General features: G+C 34.6%; 3 annotated features.

The window, feature by feature from the left end:
• Positions 16,896–17,663: an enhancer, noted in NCBI's record as "OCT4-NANOG-H3K27ac hESC enhancer chr13:85228175-85228942 (GRCh37/hg19 assembly coordinates)". NCBI's record gives its function as "activates a minimal SCP1, AML or CMV promoter by ChIP-STARR-seq in naive H9 embryonic stem cells {active_cell/tissue: H9 hESC(naive)}" and the evidence as "EXISTENCE:reporter gene assay evidence [ECO:0000049][PMID:30033119]".
• Positions 17,664–18,432: an enhancer, noted in NCBI's record as "OCT4-NANOG-H3K27ac hESC enhancer chr13:85228943-85229711 (GRCh37/hg19 assembly coordinates)". NCBI's record gives its function as "activates a minimal SCP1, AML or CMV promoter by ChIP-STARR-seq in naive and primed H9 embryonic stem cells {active_cell/tissue: H9 hESC(naive and primed)}" and the evidence as "EXISTENCE:reporter gene assay evidence [ECO:0000049][PMID:30033119]".
• Positions 18,433–19,200: an enhancer, noted in NCBI's record as "H3K27ac hESC enhancer chr13:85229712-85230479 (GRCh37/hg19 assembly coordinates)". NCBI's record gives its function as "activates a minimal SCP1, AML or CMV promoter by ChIP-STARR-seq in naive H9 embryonic stem cells {active_cell/tissue: H9 hESC(naive)}" and the evidence as "EXISTENCE:reporter gene assay evidence [ECO:0000049][PMID:30033119]".

Below are 20,799 nucleotides of genomic sequence, written 5' to 3' on the forward strand. Positions count from 1 at the left end.
GAGGTCAGGAGATCGAGACCATCCTGGCTAACACGGTGAAACCCCATCTCTACTAAAAATACAAAAAAAAAAAAAAAAAAAAAAAAAAAATTAGCTGGGTGTGGTGGTGGTCACCTGTAGTCCCAGCTACTCGGGAGGCTGAGGCAGGAGAATGGCGTGAACACAGGAGGCGGAGCTTGCAGTGAGCCGAGATAGCACCATTGCACTCCAGCCTGGGCGACAGAGCAAGACTCCATCTCAAAAAAAAAAAAAAAAAAGATTCAAGAGAAAGTTGAAATTCAATTCAAGGAATCTTAGCAATCCAATAAAATGATACAGGAACTGAAAGATGAAATAGCCATTTTAAGAAATAGCCAAACTGATCACATAGAGCTAAAAAACATACAAGAATTGTATAATAAAATTGCAAGTATTAACAGAAGCATAGACCAAACTGAGGAAAGAATCTTAAAGATCAAAGAATGGGACATGGAATAAACTTACTCAGAAAAAGTAAAGAAAATAATAAAAAGGAGTTGAAAAAGTATCCAAAAGCTATGTTTTGTAAAGCAACTAAATCTGTGACTCATTGACATTCCTGAAAGAAAGGAAGAGAAAGCACGCAACTTGGAAAATGTATTTAAGGATATTGTTGATAAAAATTTCCCCAGCCTCACTAGAGATGTTAATATTCAAATTCAGGAAATGCAGAGAACTCTGGTTAGATAATACAAGATGATCATCTCCAAGACACATAGTCATCAGATTATCCAAGGCCAACAGGAAAAAACATATATTAAAGACAGCTAGAGAGAAGAGGCAGGTCACCTACAAAGGTAACCTTATTAAGCTAACAGTGGACCTTTTATAAGAAACCATACAAGCCAGAAGAGATGGTGGGGGGCTATATTCAACGTTCTTACATAAAAGAAATTTCAACCAAGAATTTTGTATCCAGCCAAACTAAGCTTCATAAGCAAAGGAAAAATAAGATCCTTCTTAGGTAAGCAAATGCCATGGGAATTCATTATCACCAGAAGTGTCTTACAAGAGGTCCTTAAGGGGTGCTAAATATGGAAACAATAGACCATTACTGGCCACGACAAAACACAGTTAAATACATAAATCATTGACACTATAAATCAAAGATACATCAAGTCTGCATAATTACCAGATATCAACACAATGACAAGATCAAATCTGCACATATCAATATTAATCTTGAATGTAAAGGCCTAAATACTCGCAATTAAAAGGCACAGAGTGGCAAGTTGAGTAAAGAAGAAAGACCCCTCTGCTGTCTTTAAGAGACTCACAAGCTCAAAGTAAAAGAATAGAGAAAAATCTACCAAGCAAACTGAAAGCAAAATAAATAAATAAATAAATGAAATAGCAGGGATTGCTATTGTAAATTCAGACAAAAGACTTAAACTAACAATGTCCAAAAAGACAAAATACAATATCTAATGGTAATGGGTTCAATCAACAAGAATTAACTATCCTAAATATATATGTACCCAACAAAGGAGCACACCAATTTATAAAACAAGTTCTTAGAAACCTACAAGAGACATAGATAACCACACAATTAGAGTGGTAGACTTCAACACCCCACAGACAGTATTAGATTATGGAGGCAGAAAACTAAGAAAGATATCTGGGACCTGAACTCAACACTTGACCAAATGGAAATAACAAACATCTACAGTACTCACCACACAAAAACAACAGAATATACGTTCTTCTTATCTGCCCACAGCACATACTCTATATTCACCACACAATCAATCATAAAAAAATTCTCAACAAATTAAAAAAAATCATACCAACAAAACATGGACCACAAGTTTTGGACCGTAAAGTTCATTGACATTCAAGAGACACACAATAAATACAAAAATCCATACTAAGAAGATAGCATAAAACCATAGAATTAAGATGACAAAAATCATACAAAATATCAACAAAAATCAGAAGTTGATTGTTTGAAAGAATACATAAGATTGATTGGTTGCTAGCTAGACTACTAAAGGAAAAAAAGAGAGAAGATCCAAAAAAAATAAACACCAATCAAAATGAGAAAGGAGATATTGCTACCAAAACCACTGAAACATAAAATATCCTCACAGACAATTATAAACACCTCTATGCACAGAAACTAGAACCCCCTGGCCCCCCAAAAGGATAAATACCTGGAAACACTAAATCCCCAAAAATTGAACCAGGAAGATATTGAGTCACTACAGAGACTAATAACAAGTTCTAAAATTGAATCAGTAATAAAAAGCCTAACAACCAGAAAAATTCCTGAACCAGACAGATTCACAGCCAAATCCTACCAGATCTATAAAGAAGAGCTGGCAATACTTCTCCTAAAACTCTTCCAAAAAAATTTAGGAGGAGGGACTTTTCCCTAACTTATTTCTACGAGGCAGTATCATTCTGATACAAAAACCTAGCAGAGACACATACAAAAATCCTCAACAAAATACTAGCAAATGGAATCCAGTAGCACTTTGAAAAGCTAATCCACCCTGATCAGGTAGGCTTTATGCCTGGGATGCACGGTTGCTTCAACATACACAAATTTATAAATGTGATTTATCACATACACAGGGCTAAAATTGAAAATCTCATGACCATCTCAATAGATGCAGAAAAGGCTTTCATTAAAATTCAAAATCCCTTCATTTTAAACACCCTCAACAAATTAGGCATTGAAGAAACATACCTCAAGATAATAAAAGTTATCCACCTGTGAAAACACCACAGCAAATATCATGCTGAATAGACAAACACTGGAAGTCTTACCCTTGAGAACCAGGACAAGACAAGGATACCCAATCTCACCACTTCTAGTAAACATAGTGCTGGAAGTCCCAGCCAGAGCAATCAGACAAGAGAAATGAATAAAAGACATCCAAATAGGAAAAGATGAAGTCAAACTATCTGTTTAAAGATGATATGATTTTATACCTGTAGTCACTGTCCCAAAGCTCCTAGATCTGATAAACAACTGTGGCAAAGTTTCAGGACACAAAATCAAGGTACAAAAATCAGTAGCATTTCTACACACTAACAACATCCAATCTGAGAGCCAATTCAAGAACACAATCTCATTTACAATAGACACACTCACACACACACACACCTAGGAATACAGCTAACCAAGGAGGTGAAAGATTTCTACATTGAAAATTACATAACATTGCTGAAAGAAATCAGAAATGACACAAGCAAATGGAAAAACATTCCATGCTCATGAATAGGAAGAATCAATATTATTAAATGGCCATACTGCCCAAAGCAAAACTACCAATGACATTTTTCACAGAATTCGAAAAAAACTTTTTTAAAATTCATGTGGAACGAAAAAAGAGCCTGAATAGTCAAATTAATTCTAAGCAAAAAGAACAAAGCTGGAGGCATCACATTACACAACTTCAAACTATAATACAAGGCTACAGTAACCAAAACAGCATGGTACTTGTACAAAAACAGACACATAGACCAACAGAATAGAATATAGTGCCCAGAAATAAAGCTGCACACCTATCACCATTTTATAGTTGACAAAATTGACAGTAACAAGTCCATTCTCACACTGCTATGAAGACATACCTGAGACTGGGTAACTCATAAAGAAAAGAGACTTAATTGGCTCATGATTCTGTAGGCTGTACAGGAAGCATGACTGAGGAAGCCTGAAGAAACTTACAATCATGGTGGAAAGCAAAGAGGAATGAGGCGTATCTTCACATGGCCAGAGCAGGAGGAAGAGACAGAGAGAAAGGGGAATTTCTACACACTTTCAACCACTGGATTTCATGAGAACTCTATCATGAAAACATCAAGGGGGAAGTCCACCCCCATGATTCAATTGCCTCCCACCAGGCCCCTCCTCCAACACTGGGAATTACAATTCAACATGAAATTTGGATAGGGACACAGAGACAAACCATATCAACAAGTAATGGACAAGGAACTCCCTATTCAATAAATGGTACTGAGATAACTGGCTAGCCAAATGCAAAAGATTGAAACTGAACTCGTTCCTTTTACCATATACAGAAATCAACTCAAGATGGATTCAACACTTAAGTGTAAGTCTAAGACTGTAAACACCCTTGAATAAAACCTAGGAAATACCATTCTGGACATAGGCCCTGGCAAACATTTTATGATGAATATGGCCAGATCAACTGCAACAAAAATAAAAATTAACAAATGGGACCTAATTAAACTAAAGAGCTTCTGCACAACAAAAGAAACTATCAACAGAGTAAACAGATAACCAACAAAGCTCTAATGTATAAAATCTATACATTAACTTAAACAAATTTAAGTTATACATTATATAACTATACATTAACTTAATCTATACATTAACTTAAATTTACAAACAATCAACAAACAACCCCATTAAAATGTGGGAAAGAACATGAACAGACACTTTTCCAAAGAAGGCATGCACACATCCAAAAAACATATGAAAAAATCCTCAACATCACTCATCTTTAGAGAAATGCAAATTCAAACCACAATGAAATACCATCTCACACTAGTCAGAGTGACTCTTACTAAAAAAGTCAAAAAGTAACAGATGATGGTGAGATTACAGAGAAAAGGGAACACTTATACACTGCTGGTGGGAATGTGAGTTAGTTCAACCATCTTGGAAAGCAGCGTGGTGATTTTTCAAAGAACTTAGAACTACCATTTGACCCAGCAATTCCATTATTTGGGTAAATACCCAAGGGAATAGAAATCATTCTACCATAAACACACATACACGTGAATGTTCATTGCAGCTCTATTCACAATAGCAAAGACAAGGAATCAACCTAGATGCCCATCAGTGGTAGGCTGGATAAAGAAAATGTGGTTCATATACACCACGGTGTAACATGCAGCCATAAAGAAGAATCAGCTCACATCCTTTAAAGCAACATGGATAGAGCTGGAGGTCATTAACCTAAGCAAATCAACACAGGAACAGAAAAACAAATATTGCCATCTTCTAACTTATAAGTGGGAGCTAAACATTTAGTACACATGGATACAAATAAGGAAACAATAGCCACCAGGTCCTACTTGAGGGTGGCGGGTGGGAGAAAGGTGAGGATTGCAAAACTACCTACTGGGTAGCATGTGTGTTACCTAAGTGACAAAATAATTTATACACCACACCCCCATGACACATAATTTACCTGTATAACAAGTTCATACATGTACTCTCGATCCTAAAATAAAAGTTAAAAAAGAAGTATATTTAGTGTAGGTTCACAGGCGCACAGATGATAAAAAAAAAATGCAATCTTACATCTTACTAAATTGTACTCAGCGTTTGTTTATTTATCTGTAAAATAATGCATCTATTCTAATTTTCCATAATAAATATTCTATCTCAAAATATATGTATCTAATTCTAAAATAAGAATTTCTCATTGCAGTTGAACTTAAAATGCACCATATCAATGTCTTTGATGTCAATTTTTTTTGCAAGGTATCTTAAAATTATTGGCACTTCTTGGTTTAAAAAAGTTAGATTAAATTTTACATAATAGCAAGAAATATTATCTTAATGAAACCTTTTCTATTATGAGCTAGAAATATAGTGATTCTGAATATTCAACTGTACTTAATGCTAATATCTAAAATCATTTTCTGAATATTAAACCAGTTATTTTCTGAGGGGAGTAGTAGACTGTTATACTGAAAAACAAAGTCTGTATTCTATCATTCTAGCAAAAGCAAGCAATCATAAATATAATTTTCTATGAGCATAATAGAAGTGATTGTTTATGAATATATTTGGATTATTTTATCTCATTTAGCTATTGATTAAATCTTCATTTACATGATATTTTTTGCTATGTGAAACTGACTTTATATACTATAAATCTATATATCTATATCTAGAATAAAACATTAAACAAATAAATGAAAGAGATGACATTTAAAAGGATTCTTCTGAACCTATTAAATCCATGAGAGAAACTGCTTATCAATGCTTCCTTTACAGACCATAGTTGAAAGTATAATGAAAAGCAGGTAACAAATATTCTTCTAGTTCTGCTGTTAGAACAAAATACTGAGTACAATTCTACTGTGACACATTAAATATATGGAACTTGTATAATTTTAGATAAGTTAGTCAAGATCTATTCTGGTAATTACATTATATTAACCAAAATTGCCCATCTATTTATCTCGGTTCTCTTTATTGTGTTACAGAAAATTAACTAAATAAAAAGGTTAATTCACTGCTTCCAAAAGGATAAACCAATGTTTGAAAACTTGAACCATGAAGAAAAATACATATTTGGACAAATGATAAATAAATTTATATAGGGACTATAAAATTTATGTATAAGATACATTTATCAAATATTTCTATCTGTGGAATTTTATTTATAAAAATTCCAAACCAATATGTTTTAGGCAAAGCTTATTGAACAATCGCAAATATTTATTTCATATTATTTGTGTTTAATTCCTGAGAGAAATATAAAAAGATATATTTTTTTTCCTTTTAAGGTATGAATTCTGTAGTTTAGGTAAGGCATACTACAGCAACTATCAGCAAGGATTTTAGAGTTAGGCCGAGGAAGATTCAAGCCTTGGGAAAGTAAACTAAGTGATCTGAACTTTTGTTTTCTCATCTATAAAGTGAGGATAATAACCATGACTAATTTACAGTGTTATGAAAAGTGAAATGATTAGCACAATGCCTAATATTTAACAACAGTTTAAACAATGTTTTATATTATATTATATTATTTTTGTTAGCAACACTGGATAGTATTTGATCCAAAGCAATTAAATTTAACATAATAGAGCAATTTTTTTCATAAGACTCAAAGAAGACCATCAAATGTTGATGATTTTGCTGTGTATTAAGATAAAGCCAGCTGAAGAGTCCCTTGGAAATACTATTTTACATTCAACACAAATATTTGCAGTGATAGTGATTATGATTACTTGGCCTAGGAGTGAAACCACTAATGGCTATTAATTTGGAAAGAAAATGAAACATTTTTGGATAATCATTCTCTTTATCCATTGTAGTTCCTTGATCCTACTCTGTGCATCTGCGTGACAGACGATAAAGAAAAAAAATGTTGAAATGTGTCAGAGAAAATATAATTTTTAAAAATAAACATCCAAAGATCACACTGGTTCAGGAAGGAACAGACGGATGATAGAGGTCTAAGAATAACATAATCTGACTTTTCAGGAAAATTATGTGTAGAGCCTTTTTTTTCTTTTTGTAAGAAAAAGAGTTTTTCAACTTATTCAATTGATTACTGTCTTGAAAATAGAACTATATAAGCTCCACCATTCTACTTATGAAGACAAGATGTTTATAGTTACTGTGGCATCATCAAATGGCATTGTCAGTCAAAGTCAACACAATTGACTTACAGATCATTGCTCTCTATGGGCTCTATGAAATGATAAAACGAAGACTAAGGGGTTTAGTAGTGTTGAGGTTATGAACCTACGTACAGTAGCAAAGATAGAAACGCTTCTCCAACCTTTGTATTTATGAACCAAGTGGAGATGTTGCTAAATGCAGTAAATCTGTTTTGTAATGTGAAATCCCACATTTTTCACAAGTTCTCAGGTCGTGTGGATCCTGCAGGCTTGTGAACCAATATTCTGATTAGCAAGGTCTTAGGACACACCATCAAGATGTGGAACCAGATTACTGGGGGCTCAGTACTCTTGCTTAATTCAAATCCTTAACATAAGCATATGTCATTTTATTCACATTATTTCTTAATATAATCTATACATCTTTTTAGTTTTTATATTTATTGATTTGAAACAAATAAAAAATGTGGCCTACATTTTTTGATATCCTAGAAAATTCTTGCTAAAAGTCATGATACATGAACCTGGCAAATCACCAAGCACCTTAGGCGAGTGTATTTTGAATTTAAAGATACATGTAGTTGCCCAAAAACATTTTTTGTAATGAGCAGAACATTAACATGATAAAGTTACTTGCTGCATTTTTAAGTAATTCAAAGACATGTTTCCACTCTATTTTAAGAAAAATCTGTGGTGTGTTTCAAATCCTAGTAATTGACATAGTTTAGAAGACTCAATGATATAGCCAAGCTGGAATTTGTGGAAGGACTATGAAAATATGCAGTTATGTTCCAGAAGAGGCTGGAGTTAATCTGTATAACGAATGCTTGGACATAGTCACCAGCCATTTCAGTTCTAGGACTTCTCCAAAGAGGAAATTGCCAGTGAGATTGTTTAGGCATGATTTTTCTTATTTTAGAATGAGGAAGTCTAGGCTTAAAGAGATTAATCATTTGTCCAAGTTTCCAAATATAGCAAGAAAAATGTCAGGATTCAAATTCAAGTTGGGTGATTCTAATTGCCTATTCTTTTAACAAATGCATCTTGTTGCAGGACAGGTGAGCCCCAGAATTGGAGCTTAGCCCAGGAGGGTTCTTGGCAGCACCCAGGAAAGAATTCAAGAGTGAGCCAGTGGTGTTAGCAATCTTTCATTGGATGGTACTGCTCCTTGCAGAACAGAGCTAATTCACGGGCAGTGTACACAGAGTAGGCAATGTATGGGTTGGCAACTGTATGTGTACTTACATAAACTCACTTTCCGTTTCATGCAAATTAAGGGGTGGATCAATGCAAATTGAGGGGTGGGTTATTCAGACCTTTCTAGGAAAAGGTTGTTAAGTTCTGGGTCGTTGGCATGGCATTTATAAACTGTCATAGTGCTGATGGGAGTGTCTTCTGCTAATGAGCAATGAGGGCAAATAGGGATCTCTTTTGTTGCCATCTGCTGGTTCCTGACTATTTTTGCTTTATTCAGTCTGGACCAGATCCTGTTTTAGTCAGCAGGGTTGTGACTAGAAAATAAGTCCTGCCAGTCTCCCACCTTTTGAGGTTATTTGAAGGACTTCTCCTGATGCACTAATGCATTCAATTAGACATTTGTAGCAACCAGTCTGATTTCTGTGAGAAATTTGTGATTAAGGTTTGTGTTTAAGTATATTTCCTAAAGTTCTATCTCCTGACACAACTCTTCTGTAAATTTTTGAACACTTGGATAACATATTTTAATCTTTGCCAATGTCTCTCAACATTATAGCACTTTTTAATTATATCCTACATAAAATCTTTGTTAATTTGATACTAGTAAGTAAATATTTGTTTCAAAGTTTGTTCTCACAAACAATAAATAAAAATATATATGTTCCTGAAATATTGGTCTTGCATTACTATCTATAATAGACAAATATTGACAGAGAAAACTGTTAATTTCTAAGTGCAATTTTAAAATAAATCTGTTTTCTTATCTTTTATAATACATTAGAACATTTTTGGAGCTTTTAAAGAAAAATATTATTTTCTAAGATAAATATTTATACAATACATATTTATGAAATACATATTCAAAGTAACATAATATTTTTAAAATTTCTCATTTTATGTCATCTTTACAATAACAGAATCAAAAATATAAAGATTAAAATTTTACCTGTTTATCAATGTTAATAATGATGGAGTCCTCTCCTCATTTTCATTACAAAGAGACTTACCCAGTGAAAAAGAAACTATGCAGAAATGCAATATTATTCTACTTGTTTTTTCATTTATCCAGGAGAAATTTTATTCAAAGATCTCATTCTCTGATGTGGAAAACAAGAATATAATAGTCATTTCCACACGTATCTGACCCAGAGAATTAGAGAGTCAATCTTTACTGTGCAGTCAGGATAAGAAAAAAAAAAATGTAGTCATCAGCAAAGTCAAAAATATTCAGAGAAACCCATTTTTACATAATAATTGGAGTCACGACCTTAGCATAGAATAAGGGCAAAATATATTGACTTTCATCCATGGAAAATTTGGACTTCTAATACAGAATATTTTTAAATGTCGGCTATTTTTAAATGCCTGCTTTACACTTGCAGTGGCATTAACCCTGCTAGAAGTGTTCCTTAATGCAGTCTAATTGACAGTCTGAATATGAGGCCGAGCCACCTCAGCAGCCCTTATGCTAACCACCCAGGCTGTGGTCCCTGAACAGAGAACAGTTGATGGTTTCAATTATACTGGGGTCATAGTATCATTGGCCTGATACTTTTCAAATGGTCAGAATTATGTTTCCAAAGGTTCATTACTATGATTTTATGGGGGATGTCATCACTTACAAATGAAAGTAACACAAGAAAGTGCTTAGTCTTCTTAGGAAGCTAAAAAATCTTCTCTAGAAAAATGAAAAATTTGTACAGCTTCTAACATTTAGGAGAAAAGGAATTACACAAGTTATTATCTTGTATTTGAGGCAGTCTACATACAATTATATCTGACACAAAAGTTATGTTTTAGCAGAAGTACATTCATTTTTATTGTATCCATCATACTTATATATTTGTTACAAATAAAAATACAGTTATCCTTCTATATCTGCCAGGGATTGGTTCTAGGACCAAATCTGAGCATGCTCAAGTCCCTTACATAAAATAGAATAGTGTTTGCACATAATCTATGGACATCTTTAAATCATTTCTAGGTTACTTATAATATCTAATACAATGTAAATGCTTTGTAAGTTGTTATACTATATTTTTATTTGTATATTTTAGTTGTAGTTTTTTTTAAAAAAATTTTGCTAATATTTTTGATCTGCAGTAGGTTGAGCCTGCAGATGGATCCTGTGGATACTGAAAGCTGACTAACTTTTAAGAAGCAAGTCAGTTTTTAAAACGGTGGGTAAATCAACAAAAACACTTTAACACTTCCTGTATTATTGTATATGGAAAAATTAAGTCTCAAAATTATAAATTAAAAATAGATTCAAACATATATGAGAAATATTTTCAGATGACCACCATATTCTCTTTATAATCCAGTCTGTATACTCTATTGTATTGCTTTTCTACTTTTTATTACATGTTGTAGGTTTTCTTTGTTACTGTTGACAGATAGAAAGGGAATTCTCCAGTTTGTGTTTGAACAGGGGGGCAAATATTTTGTTTATAAAATGAATTCTTCCTTATAAAACATATTTAGCTTCTATTTGAAGAAACATATATTACAGTCTAAATTTAGAGTGCCATCTAGTGATGAATTAAATACACTTAATTTCAAATTCAAGAAGTATTAATGTTTAAATAATGAAAACTTCAATGTAGTTTTTTTGTTAACATGGAAAAATGACAGAATGATCATCATGCATTTAGTATACAGTTAACATGATGATTTAGTGAATTTTATTTATATCATCAACTTGAAAAGACTTGTCCAAATTCAAAAAGATTTAAAACTTACGCAACATGTCTAAACTTAGTAACAATGAAATTGTTTGCATGTAGATTAGGAATCAATTAAGACGCCTTGATGTTTGCATTAAAGTACTCAAAGTTCATTCACAGTAACTGACCATATTTAGGATCTTCTTGGTGTTTACTAGCTACCCAACAAATGCTGGTTGATGGATTAAATTAGATAATAAGTAAAGAATAAATGTTTCAAAATGTAAATATAAAATAGTAACAACAAGAGTATTAAAAACCGAACTCCCATTTTTATAGAATTTGCCAGCTTTGAAAAGTGCTCAAAGCTCATGTTTGAATGATTAAATGGTTTTCCCTAGGCTTAAAATATACATTAAATTTTATAAATTAAATATAATAATTTACGAAAAGGGAAGCAAGGAAAATTTAAAAAGGGATGACAACAGGATGAAAAGGAAGAAAGAGGGGCATGAAAACAAAAGAAAGATCAAGGAAGAGAGAACAGGAAAAGGCAAGGAGGAAAAGACAATCTTACTGTTGATCTGCATTTCTTCCGGATGTTATAACACATATTAATCCATTTATGTCTATATGACAAAGCTCATTCCAATATGAGGGCAGCTGAGATTTAGTCAGGTAATATCAACTTCTATGTTTCAAAATCTAATTTTTCTAATTAATTGTATTCTTTGCATATAAGGGTTAAATAACACTCATTCTAAAAATTTGTAACATAAATGTTTTTACAAAGTGTTTGTACCAATGTTTTGCAAAATTTATTGATTCAGAGGTCTAGATTTGGGTTCACAAGATCTGCATTCTACATCTAATTTCATTATTTACTTTTTATATGATTTTTGGCAAATTACTAAAGCATTTGGGAAAAAAATAATAAAGGTGATTGTTTTCAATGAACTTCAGATATAGTTGACTATATTAAGTCAGTAGTTAAGCCCATTTGCTCTGGTCTAGACGACCTCCTGTTGTTTCATTCTAATATTTGTTTAGGGAGAAACAAATCAACTTTTTTTGCTATAGATCAAAAAGAATGAACTAAACAAGAAAAAATTTTACATGAATTACATGGGAAAGTCAAGACTGATTCTCCTTTAAGCGACAGAATCTTTCAGTAATTAGTATATTTCCTTTAAAATTATTCAAGTTATGATGTGGAGAAAGATGCAGGTTTCAGAAGATGTCATAGGTCTCAGGAACTCTTGTGTTCCTTTAATCCTGACCGATCACCGCATCTGAAATCACCACTTAGATTTTAGGATTTTAGAGCTCTCCAATTATGCGTATTTATGGACTATGTCCAATGCAAGAAGGCATTTTTCATAATCAATCAATTTTTTGTTTTAGAAAATAACATGGGATTTACTTTATATCCAAACAAAAGAATACACTTCACTTTTTATTTTTAAATAGTTCCCATTATCTGACCAAGTTTCTGAAATAATAATATAGTTGATGCTTTCGGGGCAATTTCTTGAAGGGTACTGATATAATATCTATTATATGACAGAAAAATAGCTTCAGCTTCGATCAAGCCAAATAGCTTTGTCCTAATTTAGTATCAGCCTCACCGTGATGATATTTCTGTGGAGATTTGCCAATAACCTACTGTTATCATAGGAAGTGACTTTGGCTCAGGCATTTAGTCAGTGAGCGAGTCACAGGGGACATACCAAAATGAGCATGGCAGTTGCTCCCTTCAAGGGTATGGAGAATTTTCTGTAGCATATCACTTTGTTCTTACCACATTGAGAAAAGAAAAAAATGAAGGTCATGCTAAATATGTTTTGTCTTAGAATGCAGCATTTTCAATAAATGAATTAGGGGAAACTTTGTGCTTGTCAGTAAAAGTTTGCCTTGAGCAAATTGTATTCCCTAGGAGTAGTTGATATTTGTTGTTTTTCGGTGCCCGTTTCTAATTCTAGGTTTTGTTGTTTTTTTTCCCAGAGAATCACTGCTTTTCAATTTCTGTAAACTTGATAGAGTTGTAAATCTAGGTGCCTGTTCTCACAGGGTAGAATCTTAAGGGTGTCCCTAGAGTATCCCTCTGTTACATTAATTTTTCCAACCCTTTCATCTGCTCCCAGACCATAATTAATACATAGGGATTCAGATGACCTAGCTGGAGATTTTTAATTGAAATATATATATATATATATATATTCCATTTTGTACACCATATATATATGTATATACACACACACACACACACACACACACATATATATATATATACATATATATGGTATACAAATTGATTTTTGATATATGGATACATTGTGGAATGGGTACAAATCTTAAACTTTTGCAGCATAACCAAGAACAAAAGAAAGGAAATGGCTTTGAGTTAATGCTTCTGTCAACTAAAAATAAAATCTTAAACCCCCCATCCCCACTGACTGCATGGTTGCCCCCTCAGCCAGGGGAATCCCAGAAATGACTTAGAAACTTAGTTCCCAGCCATGACAAGGCAGGAGGTCAGACATACCTTGTTATAATCCCCTCTCTTTTATGGTTTCAGTACAACATCTGACCAGCATTAATGATAAAATAGAGATCGTAAGACTGACAGAATAGGCTCTTTGTGGCAATAAGATATCAAATTTTAAACAAGACTTAAGGCCATGCCAGGCAAGAGTTCAGTTACACATCCCTAGACTTAAACTACAAAAAATAAACTATGTTCTAATGGCCACAAGGTTTTTCTTTCTCTCTAGCAACTAAACAAGTACTGTCTTCAAGATAAACAATATTAAAATAATCACAACTCATCCAGCTCACAGAAGCTGACTACCTGAACCCTTGATCTACTAGCCATAACTACAGCTTTAATTGGACAAGTGACTAAATTCAGTAACTTTCTCCTAGTAAGAAGACCACCAACCACGGACTGCTCCTGGCCAGTTTATGGAGATTACACACTTGTGTAACTTCATGTCCTGAAAAGACCTTTGAATACATATGGGGATATTTTTCCCCTCCAAATCTCTTGTTGAAATGTGATCCCCAGTGTTGGAAATGAGCCCAGTGGGAGGTGTTTGGATCATGGGAGTGGATTCCTCATGAATGACTTGGTGCCTTCGTCAGGTTAATGAGTAAGTTCTCCCTCTATGAGTGCGTGCAAGATCTGGTTGTTTTCAAGAGCCTGGCACCTCCTCCTCTCTCTCGCTCCCTCTTGCTATGTGACATGTTGGCTCCCCATCTGCCTTTCACCACGATTGTAAGCTTCCTGAGGCCTCAAAAAAAGCAAGCAGATGTTGGTGCCATGCTTGTACAGGCTGTGGAAACATAAGCCAAATAAACCTCTTTTCTTTGTAAATTCCCCAGCCTCAGTTATTCCTTTACAGCAAGGCAAAACTAACACAAGGGCCTAATCATAGTACATTTAAATATTATGTCCCCACCCCAAGGTGAACATGAATTCTATGTCACATGCATGTTTGTTCAATATGCATGTGTCAGAACCACCTTCATGAATATTCATAGCTGTTCCTGTAACCGGTTGAATATGTATGTTTGACCAGCCTGTTCAACATAATTCTCCTACCGCACTCCCTTCTCATTTGAGGTGCCCGTCTCTGGACTTTGGCCAGACAGAGGCTCTATTTCCCAGCCTGCAGATGGCCACTTTGCAGGCTGTTACCCTTTATAAGAAATAAAGTATCCTTCTCCTTTTCTAAACTTATAGATTACGTGTGTGACTGTGTTTTTAAGTTTACACATTCTAGAAAATAAACCTCAACCGAGCTTTCTGTCTCAAAAGCATTATCATGAATCCTTCTTGCAAATCATATAGTGCTAACATGTTTACAGCCCATTTTCAAAAAGTTTTCTCCATCTACTTACTCCAGTTGCCTTTGACTGAATTATCTAAAGTCTGCATTTCCTTTTAAAAACTAAGATCTGTAATGGATATACTGATATGTATTATTCATTCTGCTGATGATTAAATCATGCCTGGCAAATAGGAAAATTCATTTTTTAGGCAAAATGAACTTAAGTCTCCAAATGACCCTCTCCCCTTTTTGTGAGTTGGTATGGAAAGTAAATCAATTAGATTCCGTGTAAGTTAAAATTTCTTGTCTGATAGACCTATGGAAAGCGGATCCATTGAGCAGAAGGAGATGCTTTTGCTGAATGGGAACAAGGGTTAGGGAGACCCATGAGGATTCAGACTAGGGAATGATGTATTAAACTTCACCTTTAATCAGAAGATGACTCACAAGAACCCATGGAACCTCACACTAAATAATCTGTGGAGTGTACAGAAGCAGGTCATACAAGTTCTAAGGGAAAAGACTGTGTATAAACATGAAAGCCATTTTCAGAGGCATAGTATTAAGAATTGACTGCCAAATATTTCTGATTCCCACACTCCAGAAACGTGATATGATTATATTCCCTGGCCCCTTTACAGTTGATGGAGACCTGCAATTAAAACATGGAGGGTGAGCAAAATAGATCAGTGCCATTTCTAGGCCACAATATTAAAGTGACAATGCAAGACCTTCTAGAACATTCTTTGCCCCTCACATAGTAACACCAAAGCTAGAACGATGGCTATTCTGTCTTCATGGATCCCTCAGGAACTATGTTGAGCAGTCATTACTGACACTCGATGAAGGAATTGTAACCTGGGTGAGAAGTAAGCTTTTGTTGTTTTGACTGCTGAGATTTGGGGATTGACATTTCAATATAAATCATAGTAGCATAACATAGAATACCCTAATATAAGCAGCTGTAGTTACCATTAACATATCACAGGCTCAGCTGACTTGGGGAGAAAGAACTCAGCTGTCAGCCGTCAATTTAAGAAACAAACTACAATGAAAGCAATGGTCAAGGCTTTAATCAGTTACTATGATGTTACAAGCAAGAGGCTAAACTGGAGAAAGCTCCAACTCCACCTATTTCATTTTCCCACATGGAATGTTGCACCGACTGAGGATGAGAGAAATCTACACAGACAGAGACTAGGGGATTGTCTCACTGGTCAGAGAACCCCAGTAAGAGGTTCTTTCAGTTTTATGGACCCTGGAGTCATAGGAAATTGTGCGGGAAGGACAGGGAGTGGAAAACTACTTACTGGATACTAAGAGTAAACAAAAGTTTCAACTTTTTCCCTTCCTGCTCTTATTAGGAAGTCTCAGCAGAGGTGCCTGAGGAAAGCCTCAGTCAAAGGTCCCAGGGAAAGAGATCTCAGAATGAAGGTGACTGGTTAGTGATATCTTTTGGCTCCGTGTCCTCACCCAAATCTCATCTGGAATTGTAATCCCCACGTGTGGAGGGAGGGAGGTGATTGGATCATGGCGGTGGTTTCTCCCATGCTGTTCTCATGATAGTGAGTAAGTTCTCATGAGATTTTGTTGCTTAATAAGTGTGGGGCTCTTCCCCCTTTGGGCTCTCTCTCTCACCTGCCACCATGGAAGACGTGCTTCTTCCCCTTCCACCATGGTTGTAAGTTCCCTGAGGCCTACCCAGCCATGTGAAACTATGAGTCAATGAAACCTCTTTTCTTTATAAATTATCCAGTCTCTATAAATTAGCCAGTCTCAGGCATGTCTTTATAGCAGTGTGAAAACGAACTAATACAGTTAGTAATGCAGATATGCCTAAGAGCATGACCAGCCACGAAGGCTGAGTACTTGACTGAAACTCCCATCACAGACTGAAGTGCACTGGCTGGGCACTGAGCCTGGTGTAGAGAAGGTAGCTTTACCCCATGAGGTTTGCCAGGCCTATGATCAGGCCTAAAATATCACACAAAAGTGTTTTGGCCAGAAGACAAGACTCCTGATAAATCAGTAATCAAGACAACATTAGCTTGAGACTCTTTATACTTTGAGTTCCTACAATAACAATCTGAAACCTAAATTAGAAGTATAACAAACAGCCAAGGTTCATCTAATCACAGGCCAGCCAACTCATCAGACCATGCCCAAATAATGCAGACACCCAGCTGTGGACAACCAGGTGACCTCTGTACTTTGCCTCTGTGTCTGATCCATAAAAGCCAGCTGTTCACACAGCTGGGTGAAGTTCCATAAACCTTTTCTGGGTCTGAGTTCTGCCTGATTCATGAATTGTACTTTGCTCAAATAAACCCCGCTAAATTTAATTTGTCTAAAGTTTATGTTTTGTTTTTTGTTTAACACTCTTCAACATATAATTGCAAGACCAAGAATGTATCTGTTCTGCCACCAGAGGCAGAGAATTGGTGGTTAATTTTTTTTTATTAATGGCTAGAGTCCTTTTCAAATGAGTCTGTTTCAGTTATCTATGGCTGTGTAACAAATTGCTCCCAAACTGACTGACCATTTTGATTTGCTCATAATTCGAGGGTAAAGGATTTGGAAAGGGCTAGGCTGAGCAGTTTGTCTGTGATTCTTTGGTGTCTGTCAGCAGAGTCAGCAGTGACTGGAAGATGTTGTTCCCTTGTGGCTCCCTTATTCACGTATGTGGTGAATCAATGTTCTTTATTCTCTCTCCCTCCCTTTATCTCTCTCTCCCTCCCCTACCCCCTGTCTCTCCCCATTCACCCAACACAAAGGTTTGATGGTTTCTTAACTTCTGGGCCTTTCCGTGCAACTAGGGTTTCTCACAACTTAGTGGTCTTAGAGTAGTTAAATTTTTCACGGTGGCTGGCTCCCAAGAGGCAGGAAGTGGAAGCTGAGAGGTCCATTAAGAACAATACTCAGAACTAGCATGGGGTCATTTCTGCCTTTGTTGTTATTCAAAACCAGCCTACAAAGCCCACCTGGTTTTAAGTTTGTGAAAAATTCAACTTCACTTCTTCATAGGGAAGCTGCAAATCACTTTGTAGAAGCACATACGGGATGGGAGATGTTATTGTGGTTTTCTTTGGAAAAAAACCTGCCATATATCCCATGTTGGTGAGTTTAGATAGACTGGAATACTAACAAGCTTAAAGAAAATCTGTCACAAGTTATTTATAGGTCCTAAGAGTAAAGAATATACATACAAATAACTGTCATAAAACATATACATATATTGTGTAAGAAGGAATACAAATAATTGTAATAAAACATACACATATATTGTGCAATGAAAGAATAAAACATATACATATATTGTGTAAGATGGAATGTTTATTTCTAAAAGATAATGCTTATTTCTAAGGGATGATGTTTATTTCTAAGGAAAACTTTGTATTAGGTTTTCATTGCTAATGTAACAAATTTCCATAAACTTGGCAGCCTGTAAGAACGCCAATATTTTAACTTACAGTTTTGTAGGTCAGAAGTTTAGGTGGGGTTAGCTGGTTTCTGTGCTCCAGGTCTTACAAGGTTAAAACTAAGGTACTGAAAGGTCTGCATTTCCTACTGGAGGGTCTGAGGAAACATCTGTTTCCAAACTTATTTAGATTGCGGGCAAAATTCAGTTTTCTGTAGTCATAGGACTCACATCACTGTTTCCTTTGTGGCTGTTGGTTGGGGGCCAGTTTTTTTCTCCTAGAAGCTACACTCAACCTTTCTTAGGGTTTCCATGTGAATTCCTCCAGCAATGACTAATTGAGTCATTGTCACACTTTGAATTTCTCCGAGTAATCCTTGTGCAATATCTCTCTACCTTTAGATGGAGAAGTGATTGGCTTTTAAGGGGTCATGTAAATATATTGGACTCGCCTGGGTAATCCAAAATAATTTGACAACTTGAATGTCTGTCACCTTATTTATATTTGCAAAGTCATTTTTGCCGTGTGACATAGCATATTCTCAGGTAGGAGAGATTAGGGCCTGGACCTATTTAGAGGGCTCTTCTGTCAACCATAGAAATCACAAAAAGCATTCCATCTGTTTCTTGACAGATGAATAAGCTATTTCAGTGCTATAGAAGTTGAAGCTATATAGAATGTGAAGTATTTTGTATTTATGCTAAGTAGTTTGAACTAAATCTGTTTTGACTAGTCTTATATCTATGGTCTTGGGGCAGAGAATAATATATTTTTTGCATTTTTCAGAGATAAATTTGAGGGTGAGATGGAAAATATTTAGACAGAGTGAACTAGCTCAAGGCTTAACTATCAGGAAGAGATAATAATGTTCTATATTGTGGCTTACTAATAAGATTGGGAATGGAACATGAGAATGATTTTATGGAAATGAAAATATTTGATGGTTATTTTTTCTTAGTTATAAGAGTCTTCATTGATTTATAAAATCTTCGTAAGTTTATCTGGAAAGATGGGGAGGGTAGCATTTTTCAAAATTAAAGAGACCAGGGGAAAATGATACATTTGGTTTGAATTATATTGATTTTTGAGATTTTTAAGCTATCTTTAAGAAGATACCCTCCAGATAATCAGATACATTAATAAGTCAAGAATTCAAAAGAGAGATAAAATACACAGACGTGCTTGTGATTTTCTATTTTCTTTAGAATAATTTAAACAATAAACATATTAACGTTTAGAGAACCCAGGTCAGGATATATATGCGTTTTATTTAGATTTCATATATTTCTGAATTAGCCTTTTAAAGTGTACAAGGAAAACTTAGAAAGAATCTTCCACTTTTTCCCCTAATATTCTCTTAGTAGTCTATCATAGACTTATTCCTTCAATAACAATTGTATTTCCTGCAATGGACTGGTTTTAATAATGCTTGAACAAAAGCACATTTTCTAGTTTTTTATAATTCATCTTTTTTAAAGAAAAGTATTTAAAGCTCCTTCTTAATTGATGACTCAGATTTTGGCCATGAAAACAATTACGCCTTTAGTTGCCTTGTTTTGCAGAATACATGAGTCTTTTTATCCATTGAGATTTATTCCAAAATGGAAACAGCAATGCTAAAATGTCTAAATTGGTTGAGGCTAGATATTTGATAGAGCTTGGGAGGTAAGTAGAATCTCAGGGAATAAAATAAATTTAATAGCTATGTTTAGAACCACACACACATGCACACATTAAGTGAGTTTAAAATTGTGATCACATGACGAAAAGTTGCAGCATTAATGGAAACCCAAACACACTGCTATGGTCAGCAGAATGTTGATGTAGGAAAAATATTTTAATCTTGATAGCATAAAATCCTGTCCTCTGCCATCAGGGTTACTCTGGCAAAGAGGCTTAAAAAGAAATATTCTAAAAGAGGTTGCTGCACTTTTATAATGAATAATAATGTTTCCAAGTTCCGATATTCTGCCTATCTGTTTCTACATTGTGGAACATTTTAGGACTTTGTTAAACTTTTCACAAGAACTTGTCTTTGAGAAAAGTACATTTAATAGAAAATTATCTAACATCTGACATATTTCTCTCCCTATCTCTCTCATATACATATTTCCAAATATATATACATATATCCATATATATTTTTGTATCTATATATTGTTATATACATGGAAGTAAAAGTTTGGACTAATTATTCTGCAACTTAAACTTAGAAACCAGATAAATTAAATATAAGTGACTGTGGTTTATTTTTCATAGTGGGAGCATTTAATTTATTTTTGTGCTTGTTAGTTTTGATGAGTTCTTATTTCATTTGGATTTGTT

Source organism: Homo sapiens, chromosome 13 (assembly GCF_000001405.40).
Source record: "Homo sapiens chromosome 13, GRCh38.p14 Primary Assembly".
In the NCBI taxonomy this organism is placed as follows: Eukaryota; Metazoa; Chordata; class Mammalia; order Primates; family Hominidae; genus Homo; species Homo sapiens.